This window comes from Homo sapiens, chromosome 7 (genome assembly GCF_000001405.40).
Source record: "Homo sapiens chromosome 7, GRCh38.p14 Primary Assembly".
In the NCBI taxonomy this organism is placed as follows: domain Eukaryota; kingdom Metazoa; phylum Chordata; class Mammalia; order Primates; family Hominidae; genus Homo; species Homo sapiens.
In genome coordinates, this window is record NC_000007.14 from 33137375 (window position 1) to 33154478 (window position 17104).

At 39.9% G+C, this 17104-nt stretch overlaps 1 protein-coding gene across 19 annotated transcripts in view; it reads left to right on the plus strand.

The window, feature by feature from the left end:
- BBS9 (Bardet-Biedl syndrome 9) overlaps positions 1-17104 on the plus strand; it is a 506483-nt gene that overhangs the window by 8090 nt on the left and 481289 nt on the right. For 13 of the 19 annotated variants that reach the window (NR_145412.1, NR_145411.1, NR_145413.3 and 10 more), the window contains exons 2-3: positions 8868-8990; positions 15327-15477. The exons of 2 other annotated variants lie outside the window; for them this stretch is intronic. Coding sequence is in view for 10 of the 17 variants with exons in the window: in NM_001348036.1 (NP_001334965.1) it covers positions 8879-8990; positions 15327-15477 (263 nt within the window). In the remaining 7 variants the exon portion in view is untranslated. Of the gene's footprint in view, positions 1-8867; positions 8991-15326; positions 15482-17104 lie in introns of all 19 variants that reach the window. 4 more of the 19 variants (NM_001348038.3, NM_001348039.3, NM_001348042.3 and 1 more) reach the window with 2 other exon arrangements.

Sequence of the window (17104 nt, forward strand, 5' to 3'; positions counted from 1 at the left end):
TGCAGATGTGCCCAGGAGCGCAGGGCTCCTGGCCCTCCAACCTGGTAGGGGGCGGGGCTCCTGCCTGTTCCCAGCCCCCACTGGCTCCGCAGAGTGGGCAGCCCCTGCCATGCCTCCCCCGCTGCAGCCAGTGTCTTCGCAGTGGCTGCCATCACTGCTGCCTAAGTTGTCTTTTGAAATCCACCCATTTTTTTATCAAAGGAAATTAGTGGTATCCCAACTTTGTACTGATGAGAGTTTGTGGTTTCTTAATTTCTTGGGAGTGGGCAGTGCTCCTTCTCTGCTTCTACCTTTGAAACTGGAGAGACGCACTTGGGAAACAAATGATGACTATTGATTATCAGCCCAAATTGTTGTTTTTTTCTATTGTTCATTAATTCTTTAAAGATGTAAGTCCTTATTGTTCAATAAATTATCGTCTACAATGGTGCATGATAACACTTCGGACATTGGGGGAACAAACATACAAGATGTTTATGTAATGGAATTTATGAAATTCTGCTATGCATGACCTTATGTTTGCCCTGGCATGAAAGTCATTGTTGTTGCTCTGAAATATTGTTGTTCTGAAATAATTAAGGTAGCCATGGTCTTGTGAGGAAGAGCCATTTGTTGGACATAGGTTTAAAAATTAGCCCTTCCTCCACAGTCTTTAAAGATTAAAATAAAGCAAACAAACAACACAAAAATCATTCTATCCACATGCTTTTTCAGTTTTTTGATATTAAATTGCAGATTATTGGCAGCCTAATGAGGCAGGGGACTAGAGACGAGGGAGAGAGTATGCAGAAGCAAGGTCCTGCAATTAGCTGTGTGAGGTATGGGAATCATGTAACTTATCTGGGCCTCTCCTATAAAATGAGAGGACCAGCTGATTGATGGATACTTTCCAGCTGTTTTAGGTCTTTGATTTGAAAAATGATTTTTTTTAAGCCCTCAAAAGGTAACGGACGGCAGAGGTCCTCTGAAAAAGAAGGGGAAAACTGGAGCTCTGCTGTAAGAAAATATCCACTTAGGCAATCAGGTATCAGTTACATCAGTGCCTCTTCAACCTTAAGGTGCATGTGATTCACCTGGAGATACTGTTTGGGGAGGATGAGATTCAACATTTCTCATAAGCTTTTGAGTGATACAGATGCTGCTGATCCAGGGATTACACCTGGAGTAGCAAGGGACCAAACTCTGTGAAAAGGGGGATTTCAGGAGCTAACGAAGTGGTGGGTGAATAAGGAAAAATTGATAGAGCAGGAGAAACAATAATGATATATATATTTTTAAGAGACAGGGTCTGGCTTTGTTGTCCAGGCTGGAGTGCAGGGGTGCAATCATGGCTCACTGTAGCCTCAACTCCTGGGCTCTAGTGGAGACTGGCTAATATTTTTTTTTTGGTGGGGGGGAAAGATGGGGTCTTGCTATGTTGCCCAGGCTCGTCTCAAACTCCTGGCCTGAACTGATTCTCCTGCCTTGGCCTCTCAAAGTGCTGGCATTACAGACATGAACCACTGTGCCTTGCCAAGAAGGATGTAAATGATGCCTTTGTTATTTTGTCAGTACAAGTAGATTTCTAATTTTCGGTTAGAAGTTAATGAGAAATGAGGCCAGGTGTGGTGGCTCATGCCTGTAATCCCAGCACTTTGGGAGGCTGAGGTCGGCGGATCACCTAAGTTCAGGAGTTCAAGACCAGCCTGACCAACATGGAGAAACCCCGTCTCTACTAAAAATACAAAATTAGCTGGGCGTGGTGGCGCATGCCTGTAATACCAGCTATTCAGGAGGCTGAGGCAGGAGAATTGCTTGAACCCAGGAAGTGGAGGTTGCGGTGAGCTGAGATTGTGCCATTGCACTCCAGCCTGGGCAACAAGAGTGAAACTCTGTCTCAAAAACAAAAACAAAAAACAAAACAAAACAAAAAAACAAGTTAATGAGAAATGAATGTCTTCTATAGGCATTCCTATTTGTAGACATTGTTGGAAAGTTCTTTCATATTGGAGGATTCTTTTGATTCTTTTTTTGTCTTTTTTATTTTAACAGCCCACTAGATCATAATATTGGAGGATTTTTTGTATTCATTCTAGCAAGCTGAAAAAATTTATTGACTCACAGGTTTTTAAGGCCATTTTCATAGGATAGCTACTTTGACTTGATGCAGTATTTATATTCAAACTCCAGCTTTGTCTCTTGTGGTCACTTATCTGAGGATTTTGACTTTTTAAAAATGTATCATTCATTATCATTGACAGAAAAATCTCTTCTCTTTCTCCTTTACTTGGTTTAGTATGTTCTCTAGGCAGGCCCCATGAAGTTTTCTTTTCTGTCTGTGTTAGGCAAAGGTAAGACCCCCTTTGAGTGTTGTATAGTTCTTACTTTCTTATTTTCTCTCCTTGAGACTTTTGAACCGGCTGATGCAGGAGTGAGCAGAGGATCACTTACTCTTTGGTTGGTTACTACTAATTTCTGTCCTTAGCTATGTCTCCCAATAGAGCTTATGCCTCCAAGTCTTCATCCTTTATGGTGTATCAGGAGCACTTGATACAGTTGGTCACTCCCTTTTTCTAGATACATTTTTTTTTTCCACTTCCTTCGAGATAACTCACTTCTGGCTTTGTTTTGATCTCAGTGAATGCCCCTGTTAAGCTTCTGGTAGATTCCTCTTCTTTTTCTTTTTTTTGGAGATGGAGTCTCACTCTGTCACCCAGGCTGAAGTGCAGTGGCGTGATCTTGGCTCACTGCAAGCTCCACCTCCTGGTTCATGCCGTTCTCCTGCCTCAGCCTCCCGAGTAGCTGGGACTACAGGCACCCGCCACCACACCCGGCTAATTTTTTGTATTTTTAGTAGAGATGGGGTTTCACCGTGTTAGCCAGGATGGTCTCGATCTCCTGACCTCGTGATCTGCCTGCCTCGGCCTCCCAAAGTGCTGGGATTACAGGCATGAGCCACCGCACCCAGCCGGATTCCTCCTCTTCTTAACCTCTGTACCACTCCTTTGTCTTCTAAGCTTGTGTCTGGTTTTCTTCAGATATCCCATCATGCACCTTTTCCCTTTCCTGATTATGCTTTTCATCCTTTTATCGTAGCCATCCTTCATAGCCATGAAGATGACTATGCTGTGTCCTGTGAGTCCTCCTAGGGAATCATTGGCATTTCAAGTGTGAATTTGGGTAATATTTTGCTCTGAGCTGCAAGTGAATGATGTATCCTCATTCTCATAGTCCAGTAATATGGCATATTACAATTCTCCTAGGTACTTGGCATATATAGTGAGAATATATGGGATTTATTGAATACTGTTACTTTCCTCTCAAAAATCCAATAAAAGTGTAATACAGATATTATTATGTTTTTTGAATGCTTGCTACCAGATTTGAAATTTAGTAATCTGACAATTTGTATGGTTATATAATGTCATTAGTAATAACAAATGGTGCAAATATTTTTCAGAAAGTCTCCCACATATTTTGAAACTCATGATAAATTTGTTTACCTGTTAGATATTTGTTCACTTCCATCAACTCCCAGTGTTTATCTAACTTCTTTCTTAGCATAAGCAGAGTACTATGGATGGAATTTTCTTTCTTTTTTCTCCTGGTATTTGTTTTTTTAAACTAATCATTTTGAAATAATTTTAGACTCACTTAGAAGTTGCAAAAATAATGGTTTCCCAATGAAAACAGTACAGTGATCAAAACCATCAAATTTGTTTTTTTCGTAGAGACTGGGTCTCTGTTACATAGGCTGGAGTGCTGTGTCTTGATCAAAGCTCACTGCAGGCTGGCATGGTGGTTCACGCCTATAATTCCACCACTTTGGGAGGCCGAGATGGGTGGATTGCTTGAGGTCAGGAGTTGGAGACCAGCCTGGTCAACATGGGGAAACTCCATCTCTACTAAAATACAAAAATTAGCTGGGCGTGTTGGCAGGTGTCTGTAATCCCAGCTACTTGAGAGGCTGAGGCAGGAGATCGCCTGAACTTGGGAGGTAGAGGTTGCAGTGAGTTGGGATTGTGCCACTATACTCCAGCCTGGGTGACAGAGCAAGACTCCATTCCTCACTCCCCAAAAAAGCTCACTGCAGCCTCGAACTCCTGGGCTCAATTGATCCTCTCACCTCAGACTCCTGACAGTAGTTGGGACTACAGGCATGGACCACTATGCCCATCTAATTTTTTTATTCCTTGTAGAGATGGGGTCTCCCTATGTTGCCCAGGCTAATTATAGATGTTAGCCACCGTGCCCAGCCCACCATTAAATTGATGTTAGTATAATACTAAAGTTAAACTATAGATTTGATTTGGATTTTACCAGGTTTTATGTTAGATGCACTTTTTTTTTGTAGATAGTTCTAAGAAATTAATCCCAAAGAAATTGCCTTTTATTATTAGCTCCTCATAGTTACACCCTCCTGTAAACCTAGCAACCACCTATCTGTTCTACATTAGTATGATTTTGTCATTTTGAGAGTTAGAAATGTAATTATTTAATATTTTAGCTTTTTGGATTTTTTTTTCATTCAGCATAATGCTCTTGCAGTCTATCCAAGTTGCAAGTGTCAGTTATGTTTTAAATTCTTTTTTTTTTTCTCGAGATGGAGTCTCGCTCTTTTGCCCAGGCCGGACTGCAGTGGTGCTATCTCGGCTCACTGCAAGCTCTGCCTCCCGGGTTCATGCCATTCTCCTGCCTCAGCTTCCCGAGTAACTGGGACTACCCGCCCGGCTAATTTTTTGTATTCTTAGTAGAGACGGGGTTTCACCGTGTTAGCCAAGATGGTTTTGATCTCCTGACCTCGTGATCCGCCCGCCTCGGCCTCCCAAAGTGCTGGGATTACAGGTGTGAGCCACCGCGCCTGGCCTAAATTCTCAAGTTATATTGGTATGGTGTAGATGTACCATAGTGTGTTTAACCAGAACACTGAGTTTTTTTCTTTAATGTAAGTTTAAAACATCATAAAAGGGGATCAAAACCAGAGCAATGGCTAACACTTATTGAGTGCTTATTATGTGCCAGGTATTGTACTAAGTGGTCTACTGTATTCCTTTTTGTAAAAAACTAAAACTGTATATTTTTTATTTTTAATTGTGGTAAAATAATGTGACATAAAATTGAACATCTAACCATTTTTAACTATATAGTTCAGTAATGGTAAGTAAATTGACATTATTGTGCAACCAATCTCCAGAACTTCTCATCTTGCGAAGTCAACACTATATACCTATTAACAGTTCTCCTTTCTCCCTAGCCCCTGACAATCACCATTCTTAATGTTTCTGTGACTATTCTAGGTACCTCACATAAGTGGAATCATATGGTATTTGTCTTTTTGTGACTGGCTTATTTTACTTAACATGATGTCCTCAAGGTTCATCTACATAGCAGATGTCAGTTTCCTTCCTTTTTAAGGCTGCATAATATTCCATTGTATGGGTATACCACATTTTCTTTATCCATTTATCCATTGATGGATGTTTAGGTTGGTTCTGCCTCTTGGTTATTGTGAATTATGATACAGTAAATCCGTGTGTAAAAATATCTCTCTGAGATTGTCTTTAATTCTTTTGGATATCCACCAAGAAGTGGGATGGCTGGATCAAAATTTCTAGGTTTAACTTTTTTTTTTTTGAGATGGAGTCTCGCTCTGTCGCCCAGGCAGGAGTGCAGTGGCGCGATCTCGGCTCACTGCAACCTCTGCCTCCCAGGTTCATGGCATTCTCTTGCCTTAGCCTCCCGAGTAGCTGGGACTACAGGCGCCTGCCACCACACCTGGCTAAGTTTTTATATTTTTAGTAGAGACGGGGTATCACTGTGTTAGCCAGGATGGTCTCGATCTCCTGACCTCATGATCCACCCGCCTTGGCATCCCAAAGTGCTGGGATTACAGGCCTGAGCCACTGTGCCCGGCCCTATGTTTAATTTTTTGTGGGACCTACCCACTGTTTTCCATAGTAGCTACACCATTTTATATTCCCACCAACAGCGTACAGAGATTCCAATTTCTCCATGTCCTTGCCAACACTTGTTATTTTGTGTTTTTTTCTTCTTGCAATCATCATTCTTAGGTCGAATATATTTTTGTTTTTTTTGATAATGGATGTGAGGTGATATTGTTTTGATATGCAAATCAAAAATTTTGAACTGATTTTCAGTTCAAAATTAGTGATTTTGAGCATCTTTTCATATGCTCCTTGGCCATTTGTATATCTTTTTTGTTGTTGTTTGAGACAGAGCCTCACTCCGTAACCCAGGCTGGAGTACAGTGGCATGACCTTGGCTCACTGCAACCTCCGCCTCCTGGGTTCAAGCAGTTCTTTTGCCTTAGCCTCCTGAGTGGCTGGGATTACAGGTGCCCACTACCATGCCTGGCTAATTTTTGTATTTTAGTAGAGATGAGGTTTCACTATGTTGGCCAGGCTGGTCTTGAACTCTTGGCCCCAAGTGATCCTCCTGCCTCTGCCTCCCAAGATGCTGGGATTACAAGTATGAGCCACCGCACCCAGCTCATTTGTGTATCTTCTTTGGAGATGTGTCTGTTCAGGTTCTTTTGCCCATTTTTTAATGGGATGGTTTGTTTTTGTTGTTGTTGTTGAGTTGTAGGAGTTCTTTATGTATCCTGGATATTAATTCCTTATCATATATATGACTTGCACATATTTTTTCCAGTTCTGTAGGAAACTGCATTCTTATTTAATCATCACAACACCACTCTTACCTTTATTTTGTAAATGAGAAAGCGAAAGTACAGAGATGTTCAGTAACTTTTAGTAACCTTCCACTGGTTGCATGGTTAACATGTGGTGGCACAGGAATTCAAACTCACACAGGTTGCCTCTAGAGGCTATACTTTCCCACCACATTATTTACAGCCAATTTCTTGGCCAACTTTGTATAAAAACAAATGACCTTGGTTTCTATGATTAGCTCATGTGGAATGCTTACTTTAAGAGGCAGGTTGGTCTACATTTTAAAAAAGTAGAGCTGATCCTCATTATTGGCAGACTCTGTATCATTTGTGAATTTGCCTACTTGCTAAAATTTATTTGTAACCCCCAAATCAGTGCTTGCGATGCTTTTGTGGTCATTTGTGATCAAGTGCAAAGGAGTAAAAATTGAGTCACCTGATGCACATGTTCCCAGCTGATGTTAAACAATGGCTTTCTTGTTTCAGTTCTCATACCGTAAACAAGTGTCCTTTCATGGTCTACAGTATTTAGTGTCATGTTTTCTCCCACATTTTCGTAGGTTGTTTTTGGAGGGGGATGTGGTGTTTTCACTGTTTAAAATGGTCTGCAAATGTAATACTGAAGTGCTGTCTAATGTTCCTAAAAGCAAGAAGGCTGTGATGTATCTTGTGGAGAACAGACAGATGGTCCCTGACTTACCATGGTTTGACTTATGATTTTTCAACTTTAGGATGTTGTGAGAGTGATACACATTCAATAGAAACCATACTTCAAATTTTGAATTTTGATTTTTTCCCTGGTATATTAAATGTGTTTTTGACTTAAAATATTTTCAATTTATGATGGATCTATTGAGATGTAATCCCATCATAAATTGAAAAGCATCTGTACATGAAATTAGATAAGGTTAGTTCAGCCTGAGTTCTAGTGCTGGTGGGCATGATTCCCATAGTAATGAATCAGCAATACATATTAAATAAGGTATCTTTAAATAGAAACACACAAAAAACTACATTATGTATTGATTGGTTGAAGAAAATGTTGTTACTAGAAGCTTGCAGGAATCTGTCTAACCCTGTGTTTCTCCTAGGAGCAATGGTTCAGTATTTGCTAATTCATTGTTTATGGCGGCCTTATACAGAATAACTTTCGTGAATAAGGAGAATTGACTGCACTTCGTAGCTACCATTTAAATCGGTGTAACATGAAGGAAAACCTCATTTATGTTAAATAAATGAACTGTTGTAGAGTCCCAGGGCATGTGATGCTGTGTTGTAATTCAAAAGGTCCAAGTGCTTTCACATCTGCCATATCAGCAACTCAGTGGTAGGTAGGGCTGGTATATGCTCATTCTAGATAAGAAATCAAAGTAAGGAGAGGTTGTTTGGGTTGCCCAAGGACACACGGATAGTTAGTGGTATAAATGGTCCTGCAGCCCAATTTTCCTGCTTCTTTTTTGGTGTGAATTTCCCTCTTCTATCTTGCCTTTCTATAACTAACATAGCAAGAGGAAGTGAATGCTTTTTGAGTACCTATAGCATACCAGTTCCAGGGCTAGTCACTAATGCATTTGATCTCATTTGTCTCAGCAACTCTTTGTAATAGGAGATGGAGTTGGCCCTCCGTGTCCCCGGGTTTCACATCCATGGATTCAACCAACTGCAGATTGAAACCTGTGGATATGGAAGACTGACTGTACTAGGTATACTAGGTCATTATATATAATAAGGGACTTGAGCATCTGGGGATTTTTCATCTGTGGGGTCTTGGAACCAATCTTCCACAGGTACAAAGGGCCAACTCTAGTGCAGTCTCGCCAATGACTAGACTGAAAGGAAGTTAGGTATTTCACTGAAGACTTACATGTTAAATAGTGCTGATGGAATTTGAATCTTGATCCTCCAAAGAATCTGTTCTTTTGTTATTTTCTGCAGTTCTCTCCTAAATGTTTTAGAAGAGAGAATTAGCACAACATAAATGTATAATTTCTCAGCCCAATTTACTAACGGTGTTGCAAAATATCTGATTAATGCTTCCAGCCATTTGGATTTGTGGTTTCAAATATGTGTACAAAATATTAAAAAGTTAATATAGAAATGTCCTTCTCAGATCTGTCCAAGTTTAATTTGCTATGCCTTAAGACATAATTATTAGTTCATAGTGTGAAGTAGATTATTATAAATGTTTTCTTTTTAGTGTGAAAGAAAATGTCTTTATTTAAAGCCCGTGATTGGTGGTCTACTATTCTGGGAGATAAAGAAGAATTTGATCAAGGCTGTTTGTGTCTGGCTAATGTTGACAATAGTGGAAATGGACAAGGTAAGCAACTTACAACCATACATCTTGGATGAAAGTTTTAAAGAGATCAAATAAGACTGGGCACGGTGGCCGACTGCTGTAATCTCAGTTCTTTTGGGAGGCCGACGTGGGCAGATCACGAGGTCAGGAGTACGAGACCAGCCTGGCCAACATGGTGAAACACTGTCTCTACTAAAAATACAAAATTAGCTGGGCTTGGTGGTGGGCATCTGTAATCCCAGCTACCTGGGAGGCTGAGGCAGGAGAATCGCTTGAACCCAGAAGGCAGAGGTTGCGGTGAGCTGAGATAGTGCCACTACACTCCAACCTGGGCAACAGAGCAAGGCTCCATCTCAAAAAAAAAAAAAAAAAAAAGAGATAAAAATGACTTGCTTTTGAAAATGTGTACTTTTTAGAACTTAATTGAACTATCATAATTGTACCTAATTTTGAAGGTAGTTTTTTTTAATAATATTTAGGTATCAGACTGATAACTATAGTCTTTCTGTTTTGTTTATGTTCTGGTTTGTACTGATTCTGTCATATTGTTTGCTGGAATTTAGTAAAAATTATATGACATCACTTCATTTGTATCAAAATTTGGTCTTGTAGGGGACAGTTAGTAAAATATTTTGTATTTTGAAAAATTTCCTTTTGTAGAAATTCTTTACAAGAAAAATAAATTTATTGGACCTGGAAACCATTCATACCATAATGAAATTACACTAGCTCTATTTGGTGGTAGAAAACAATTGTTAAATCCTTGCTTTCATTATCATATTATAATACTAAAACCTACATTCTAGCTTATTCTTATGCATCTTCATGTTTTTTAAGTGACCTTTCAAACAGTTTAATTCTGTATTATTGTATCATTGCTATTTGAAATTTGTATTTGGTTTATAGTCATGGGCTTTTTTTTTGTGATCTAGTCATTACCCTCTTAAAAAGAAAACTTATTATAACTATTCTTTTGTTTACTGCATATAAATATTATCCCCTTACATTTTTTAAAAATTGTTTTTCTTGCCTATAATTAAAACAGTGGGATCTGCAGGAAAATGTGAAAGGAGAAAATTGTATTGGTAAAGCAGAAGAGTGGGAGTACTAAACTGCACAGAGCACCTACTAAGTTGTTTTGAAGGAAAATTTGGTCCCTGATTTTCCACTGATAGGAGATGGGAAGGCCTTCTATTCAGAGGATATTGGAAGGTTCCTCAACCCTGCCTCTGCCCCCGCTATTTGTTAAAGCATGTGATGCCCCAGTTATTTGGCCATGTAAGAGTCATGCCACAGAAATACCTGCCAGAGAGAACAATTTCAAACCCACTTCTGCCTAAACTATCTAAAGTTCAGCTTGGTTGGAAACTATACTTACTGATTATCTGAATAACATACTGTACACTCATTCATTTCTATTAGAGCTCACTACTGGGGTGCTACCAGTAGGTTACGAATATGCTGAGATACTGCTTCCCTCACAGTTTGTGGTGAGCTGTGAGCAGCTTCCTCTGTTTTCCGAAGCTTGCTATACAAAAATCATTACATATGTGTGTTCCACATAGACAACACTCATCATTGTGTTCCAAAGCCTGTGTCATAATATTGTGGGGTGATTATTATATATGGAGATTTTCTATCCCAGACACATGAGATGCTATAAGATTGTATTCTCCAGGGGTAGGTGGGGTGATGTGACTTAGGTTTCCTAATTTTTGATAAGTTCCAAAATTGAATGCTGGCATTCTCAAGTTTGAGAATTATTTTTGTTGATCTTATAGAATGGAAAGTTAACAAGAGCAGTTTTGGATATGCTCTGTTTAAGATAGGAATGTCTAGTTTACAGAATAGAGGTAGAGATTTGGGGATGAACAATATGGTGTTTATATTTGGAGCTCTGAGAACAGGTGAAAATGCACAGGGAGAGAAGTTGAAATAAGAGGGGAGGAGGTATAGGACTGTAACCTGGAGAATATGAGGATCAACAGGGGAAGTGTGGGAAGAGTAGTAGATTCTGAAAAGAGCAGGCAGAGAGGCAGGAAAACTAATTAGGCTGGTAACTGGGAAGCAGTGCAGTGGTGTGATCTTGGCTCACTGCAACCTCCACCTCCCGGGTTCAAGCAATTCTCCTGCCTTAGCCTCCCAAGTAGCTGGGATTACAGGTGCCTGCCACCACACCCAGCTAATTTTTGTATTTTTAGTAGAGACAGGGTTTTGCCATGTTGGCCAGGCTGGTCGCGAACTCCTGACCTTGGGTGATCCACCTGCCTCGGCCTCACAAAGTGCTGGGATTACAGGCATGAGCCACTGCACCTGGCCTTTTTTTTTTTTTTTTTAATGGAGACAGGTCTTGCTCTGCTGCCCAGGATGGAGTGCAGTGGCATGATCATGGCTCACTGCAGCCTCAACCTCCCAGGTGTGCCCCACCATGCCTGGCTAATTTTTATTTTTATTTTTTTTGTACAGACAGTGTCTCCTTGTGTTGCCCAGGCTGGTCTTGAACTTCCTGGGCTCAAGTGATCCTCCTGCCTTGGCCTCCCAAAGTGCTGGGATTATTGGCGTGAGCCACTGAGCCTGGCCTAAAAGTTTTCATGCTCTTTAGCAGCAAGTGGTTCATTAGTGTCCATGACAAGAGTGGATGTGTGGGCACAATGGTAATGAGATCTAGATTTGCAATGTATGAATGGGGAGTGAGTGGGAGGTGGGGAGACTATTTATGGCTCTTTAAAGAAACTTAGCTGTGAATTGAAGAAGGGAGGATGATGATTTGGAGACCATGGAGGGTCAAGGGAAGTGGGAAAAATTCAATGTGTAGAATAGAGGCTTTCATTGATGGAGCAGGGACCCAGAGAGGACAGTCAGAGATGGGATCAGGTGTGCAGATGGAAGGATTAACCTTGGACAGATGTGGAAGCTTTTTTCCACAGTGCCAGAGGAAAGAAGGTAAGAATGTATACCGATGTAGAGAAATTTGCAGGTCAAGTTGGGAGGTTGAAACAGTAATGTCAGTTGACCTCTACTTTTTTTTAGGTGATCAGACAGTGAGAGAAGAGTTACAGGGATCCTGAAATTCTTTAGAAGAAGCCGAGTAAAACACAGAAGGATTCCTTGTTAATCTTGATAGTACAATTGAAATTGAACACCCCATGCATTTAAATGGCACTTACTTTCCTAATTCTCTCAACTCAAGATTCAGACTCTTGAGAGAGATAGTGAGAATGAGGGAGAGAGAGAGGATCTGAATAATACAATTTAGATTACATGCCAACCTGTGGCCTGGAGGGAAAGTTTATTTCTAGAATTGGAGTAGAGAGCAAATAAGACTGACTAATGGCTTTTCATTTAATGCCTGCATGTTCATTAATTCCTGGGGAATCCCATATTTAATTGTAGCTTGAAATCTGTGAGAGTCAGACTTATCTGAGATCTGGTTACTATACTAGTCCTGCAAAGTATTTTAATAGTCGTACATATACATTTTGTTTCAGTGGGTTAGCTTGTTACCATGTGGACTTGGCCATCCTGACCTCCTCTTATCCCTGAAGATAGGGCTATATTGACCTATCCATGAATCTTGGTTATTTAGTGAGTAAAAGTGGGGATTTAGGGCATGACAGGATACATGGGAAGCTCAGCGGGGAATGTTTTAGGAAGGTTTAAAGGTTTAAGTCTTCTCCAACCCTTCTGGACTCCATTATAACAGTATAATTCCATTCTTCCTGATCAGTGCCTTTACTTTTACTTAAGAAGGCTGGAGAGATTTGTCAGGTCATTTGTTATTGTAATTTAAAACTTAAAGAATCAGTCTCTGAATGAGCTTCTCAGTGATTAAGCCCCACTATCTGAGTAGTAAGTGGTGAGAAATGTTTCTGCAGAGTACCAAAGACCCTGAGTTTTATTCTTTACCCTTAGATGACAATTTTGAGATTTAAACCTATCATTCTTTTATTTTAAATTATCCAATTTAATTTAAATAAAGCTATCTTCGATAAAGCTATCTTACATGTGGTTTGGTGTTCCTCCTTGTTCAGCTGGCTATGGCAGCAGCTGTCCAGTCTACTAGAGTTTCACCTGCAATGGGCACAGGGTCCCAGATGACTAGAGATGATAACTTGATTAATTGTTCTGTTACAATGTAAAGTGATACTTAACCCCACCTAGAACATGAATGGGAGTGTTCTGTGAAAGGGCATATACGCAAAGTGGCCCTCAAATACTGAAGGAGCTGAGAACCAAAGATTGAGGCAGACAAATCCAGTTTGTCAGTATACAGTGATTTATTAGGTGAACTTATGGGCAGAAATGTCCTGGGCAGTTGCAAGACAGGCAGCTCTCCACACCACAACCCCCAGACCCAGGGCTTGTATCTTGGGGAAAAAAAGTATACATGCTCTGAGAAGAATGTGTAGGTGGCTATGAGTGTCACAGCCTATGATGTATGCAGCAACATCAAGTGCTGTTTTGGAGGAAAGGCAAAACTTAAAATGAATAGATGTTTCTGCATAAAGAGTAATACATCAACTAGAGATCTTAGAGGAGTTCTTGGACTTGAGTTTAGTCAGGAGTCACATGGCAGATTAGCATTTAAAATAAAGTTACTCTTGTCCCCACAAGGAATCTTACTGTTTTGTACCGCATTTCAGGTCAAGAACCAATTCCCATACTTTGGAGGCCAAGGCAGGTAGATTGCTTGAGTCCAGAAGTTTGAGACCAGCCCAGACAACATGGCAAAACCACATCCCTACAAAAAATACAAAAATTAGCTGGGCATGAAGGCATATGCCTGTATTCCCAGCCACTCAGGAGGCTGAGGTGGGAGGATCAATTGAGCCTGGGAGGTTGAGGCTGCAACAAGCTGTGATTGCATCACTGTACTCAAGCCTGGGCAACAGAGTGAGACCCTGTCTCAAAGGAAAAAAAAAAAGAAGAACCAATTCCAAATATGCTTGCATGTTTGCATGCCTGCAGTTTATTTTCTAGTGCTCATTTCTATATCAGTTATCTTTTTTTTTGGCCACAAGTGACAGGAAACTGATAGATTTAAGTACAGAAGGTGCTGGAATGAATGTAAGATAGCTTTCCCAATGCAGGCAGAGTTGAACTGAACAAGCCTTTAGTGGGGACAGGAATGGGCATGGCTCCAGAGACCTTGTAAGCCTCCAGTATTGAAGTTCCCAGGATTATACCTCTCTCATAGGGTTATTATGAGGATTTTTTTTTTCTTGAGATGGAGTCTTGCTGTGTCACCCAGGCTGGAGTACAGTGGCACTGTCTCGGCTCAATGCAGCCTCCACTTCCCGGATTCCAGCGATTCTCCTGCCTCAGCCTCCTGGGTAGCTGGGATTACGGGCATGCGCCACCACACCTAGCTAATTTTTTCTATTTTTAGTAGAGATAGGGTTTCAACATGTTGGCCAGGCTGGTCTCGAACTCCTGATCTCAAGTGATCTGCCTGCCTCGGCTTCCCAAGGTGCTAGGATTACAGGCATGAGCCACTGCACCCAGCCTTTTTTTTTTTTTTTTTTTTTTTCAGTGACAAGGTCTTGTTCTTTCGCCCAGGCTAGAGTACAGTGGCACGATTAGAGCTCACTGCAGCCTTGAACTCCTTGGCTCAAGCAGTCCTTCCACCTCAGCCTCCCAAGTAGCTGGGACTACAGGGGCATGCCACTGCACTCAGCTTTGCATGCCATTCCCTCCATGTCTCTGTTCTGTCCTCTTAAAGGACACTAATTGAGTTTGATCACACATCTAATTAACTGGACCTCATTTTAACTTGATTACATGTGCAAAGACTCTGTTTCCAAATCAGGTCACATTCAGAGGTACCTGGGGTTATGACTTTAACGTATCTTTTTTTGGGGGGACACAATTTAACTTACAACACCCATTCTATCATTTCCCCTGCTTGTACTTAAGATGAAACATTGCTTATCAAGGCACTCTATCTAGTGACGACTCAGAATCCTTTTTAATACAGTGTTTTCGACAGCCACAAGCAGTTATAGAGTTGGCCTCTATGATGGAATCAGTTTACAACATTGTACTAGTCCTTTGATAAAGGGGCTTGCTTTGATTGAGTTAAATTATGACTTTGATACCAAATAAAGGTTTAGGAAAAAATGCAATATGTTAGTACATTTGACTATAGGGATGTAAAGCTATTTATGAAAGCTGTGTGTTATTAAAATAAGTACTCTTTAATTACACCTTTTTTGACAGAGTGGCCTTTGTGTATAAAGCAAGACTGAATTCTTTTAATTTTTAGATTTCTCTTTTACACATTAGAAAGCTTATTTCCTAAGAGATTTGCTAATGTTTGTTTCTCCCTCTATCTTTTTTTTTTTAAATTCTCTACAGATAAAATAATTGTGGGTAGCTTTATGGGATACCTAAGGATCTTTAGCCCCCATCCTGCAAAAACAGGAGATGGAGCTCAAGCCGAAGATTTGCTTCTAGAAGTGGATCTACGAGATCCAGTACTTCAAGTGGAAGTAGGAAAGTTTGTTTCGTAAGTAAGCCCACTAATTCTGGTATTTTACTTGGAGTATGTCAATCCTTTACAGTGTCACTTTTGTGTATTCTTCAAAGAAGACTATCCATGAATTAAATATATTTTCTGGATATTGTCACCTAGGGGTTTCTCACGTATGGAATGCTTTTTATGTGGAAACTGTACATTTAAGATATAATAATTTAGGGCCTTTTAATAGTAATAGACTTAAGATGCCTGACATTATCAGAAGCTTAAAAACAAAGAGATAAGCTTTTGAAAATAACCAAATAAAGAAATAAATAAGAAGTATCTACTTATTTAAAGTTATATAAGTGTCCATTTATAATTAGATGAAGTAGCAGATAACCATTACTTTTTGGTTCATAGCTTTGAGGTTTTAAAATGAATAGTTATTTGGGGTAGAGATGCCCTATCGTTTCTTGAAAGAAGTCAGTTCAACCCACAAAGTAAGTCTTCCCCCTACAAGAGCTTTGTTTCAAAGTACTTTATTCTTAAATCTAATTTATTTTAGAAAACTGTTTATTAGTTTGAACTTTGGGTAATATGTCTGCTTTTTATTTACTGATGATATTGCTGATCCTCTTATTTTCATACACAAACTTTCTTAAAATTAAGCTTGTATTTCTTCATCATTTAGAAGTACGATGAACACTTATCAAGTAGCCAGAGTCAGTTTGCCTCCTCTTTTTGAGCTCCCTTTTGCCTTTTTAAATCTGGGCAGTACCCTAAGCTCTGGATTTTGGCATTCTACATTTGTTTATCATAATTTATTGGCCCCAGGGGCCATTTAGTCAGGGCCCTAACTCCTGCTTGAAAACCAAACAACCACTCATGAGCATTCACATTCTTCTAGTGATATGTTTTATTCTGTTGGGAAGCTGTAGCTTAGATGCTTTAGGCTGGGATATGAGATGAGACTTTTATGCTTTGTGACAGGCTGGATTGCGGAGATTTTGTGACCGAAGTGGTTGGTAAATATCTACTCCATCTAAAAGCAGATGGTGATTAGGTTCCCATCATGTGCCTAGGACATATTAGGTGTGATGGATTTACAAAGTAAGGAGACAAAAGCATCCTTCCTGCTAAAAAGTGTTTTTACCTTACCATTAAAAAAGTGAAACACAGCCAATAATCATTCTGTATAGTAGTCCTTAAGTATAGCCCTCATCTATGTGCTCACATTGGAAGGGGAGGAAGTTAACGTTGTTAAGTAGATAGTATACTAGGCCTTTCTATGACATCATGCTCTTTTCCTGAGCATGGTGGAAAACTTGTTTTGAATGTCCAGGGTACATATACAAAATTTCCAAAGGTGATACTGATTATGTGATAGTCATGTATATTTGCATTTTCTACTAGTAGAGCAAATGATGAGTATATATTAATTGTAACAATGTTTTGCAGATGTTATCTAATAAGATTCTTATTTGTAAATAAGATACTAACACTCTGAAAGTTTAAATGATCATACATATAGTAAGGTGCAGAGTCAGAACCCCCACCTAGGTCTGCAGACTTCAATTATAGTCCTTGCAGTTTAGAACAGTCTGTTCTAAACAGGCGTTGTACACTGGAGGCCTGCTTGTACATGTGAGCCTGTTCAGTATTTTATTTTGTTTTA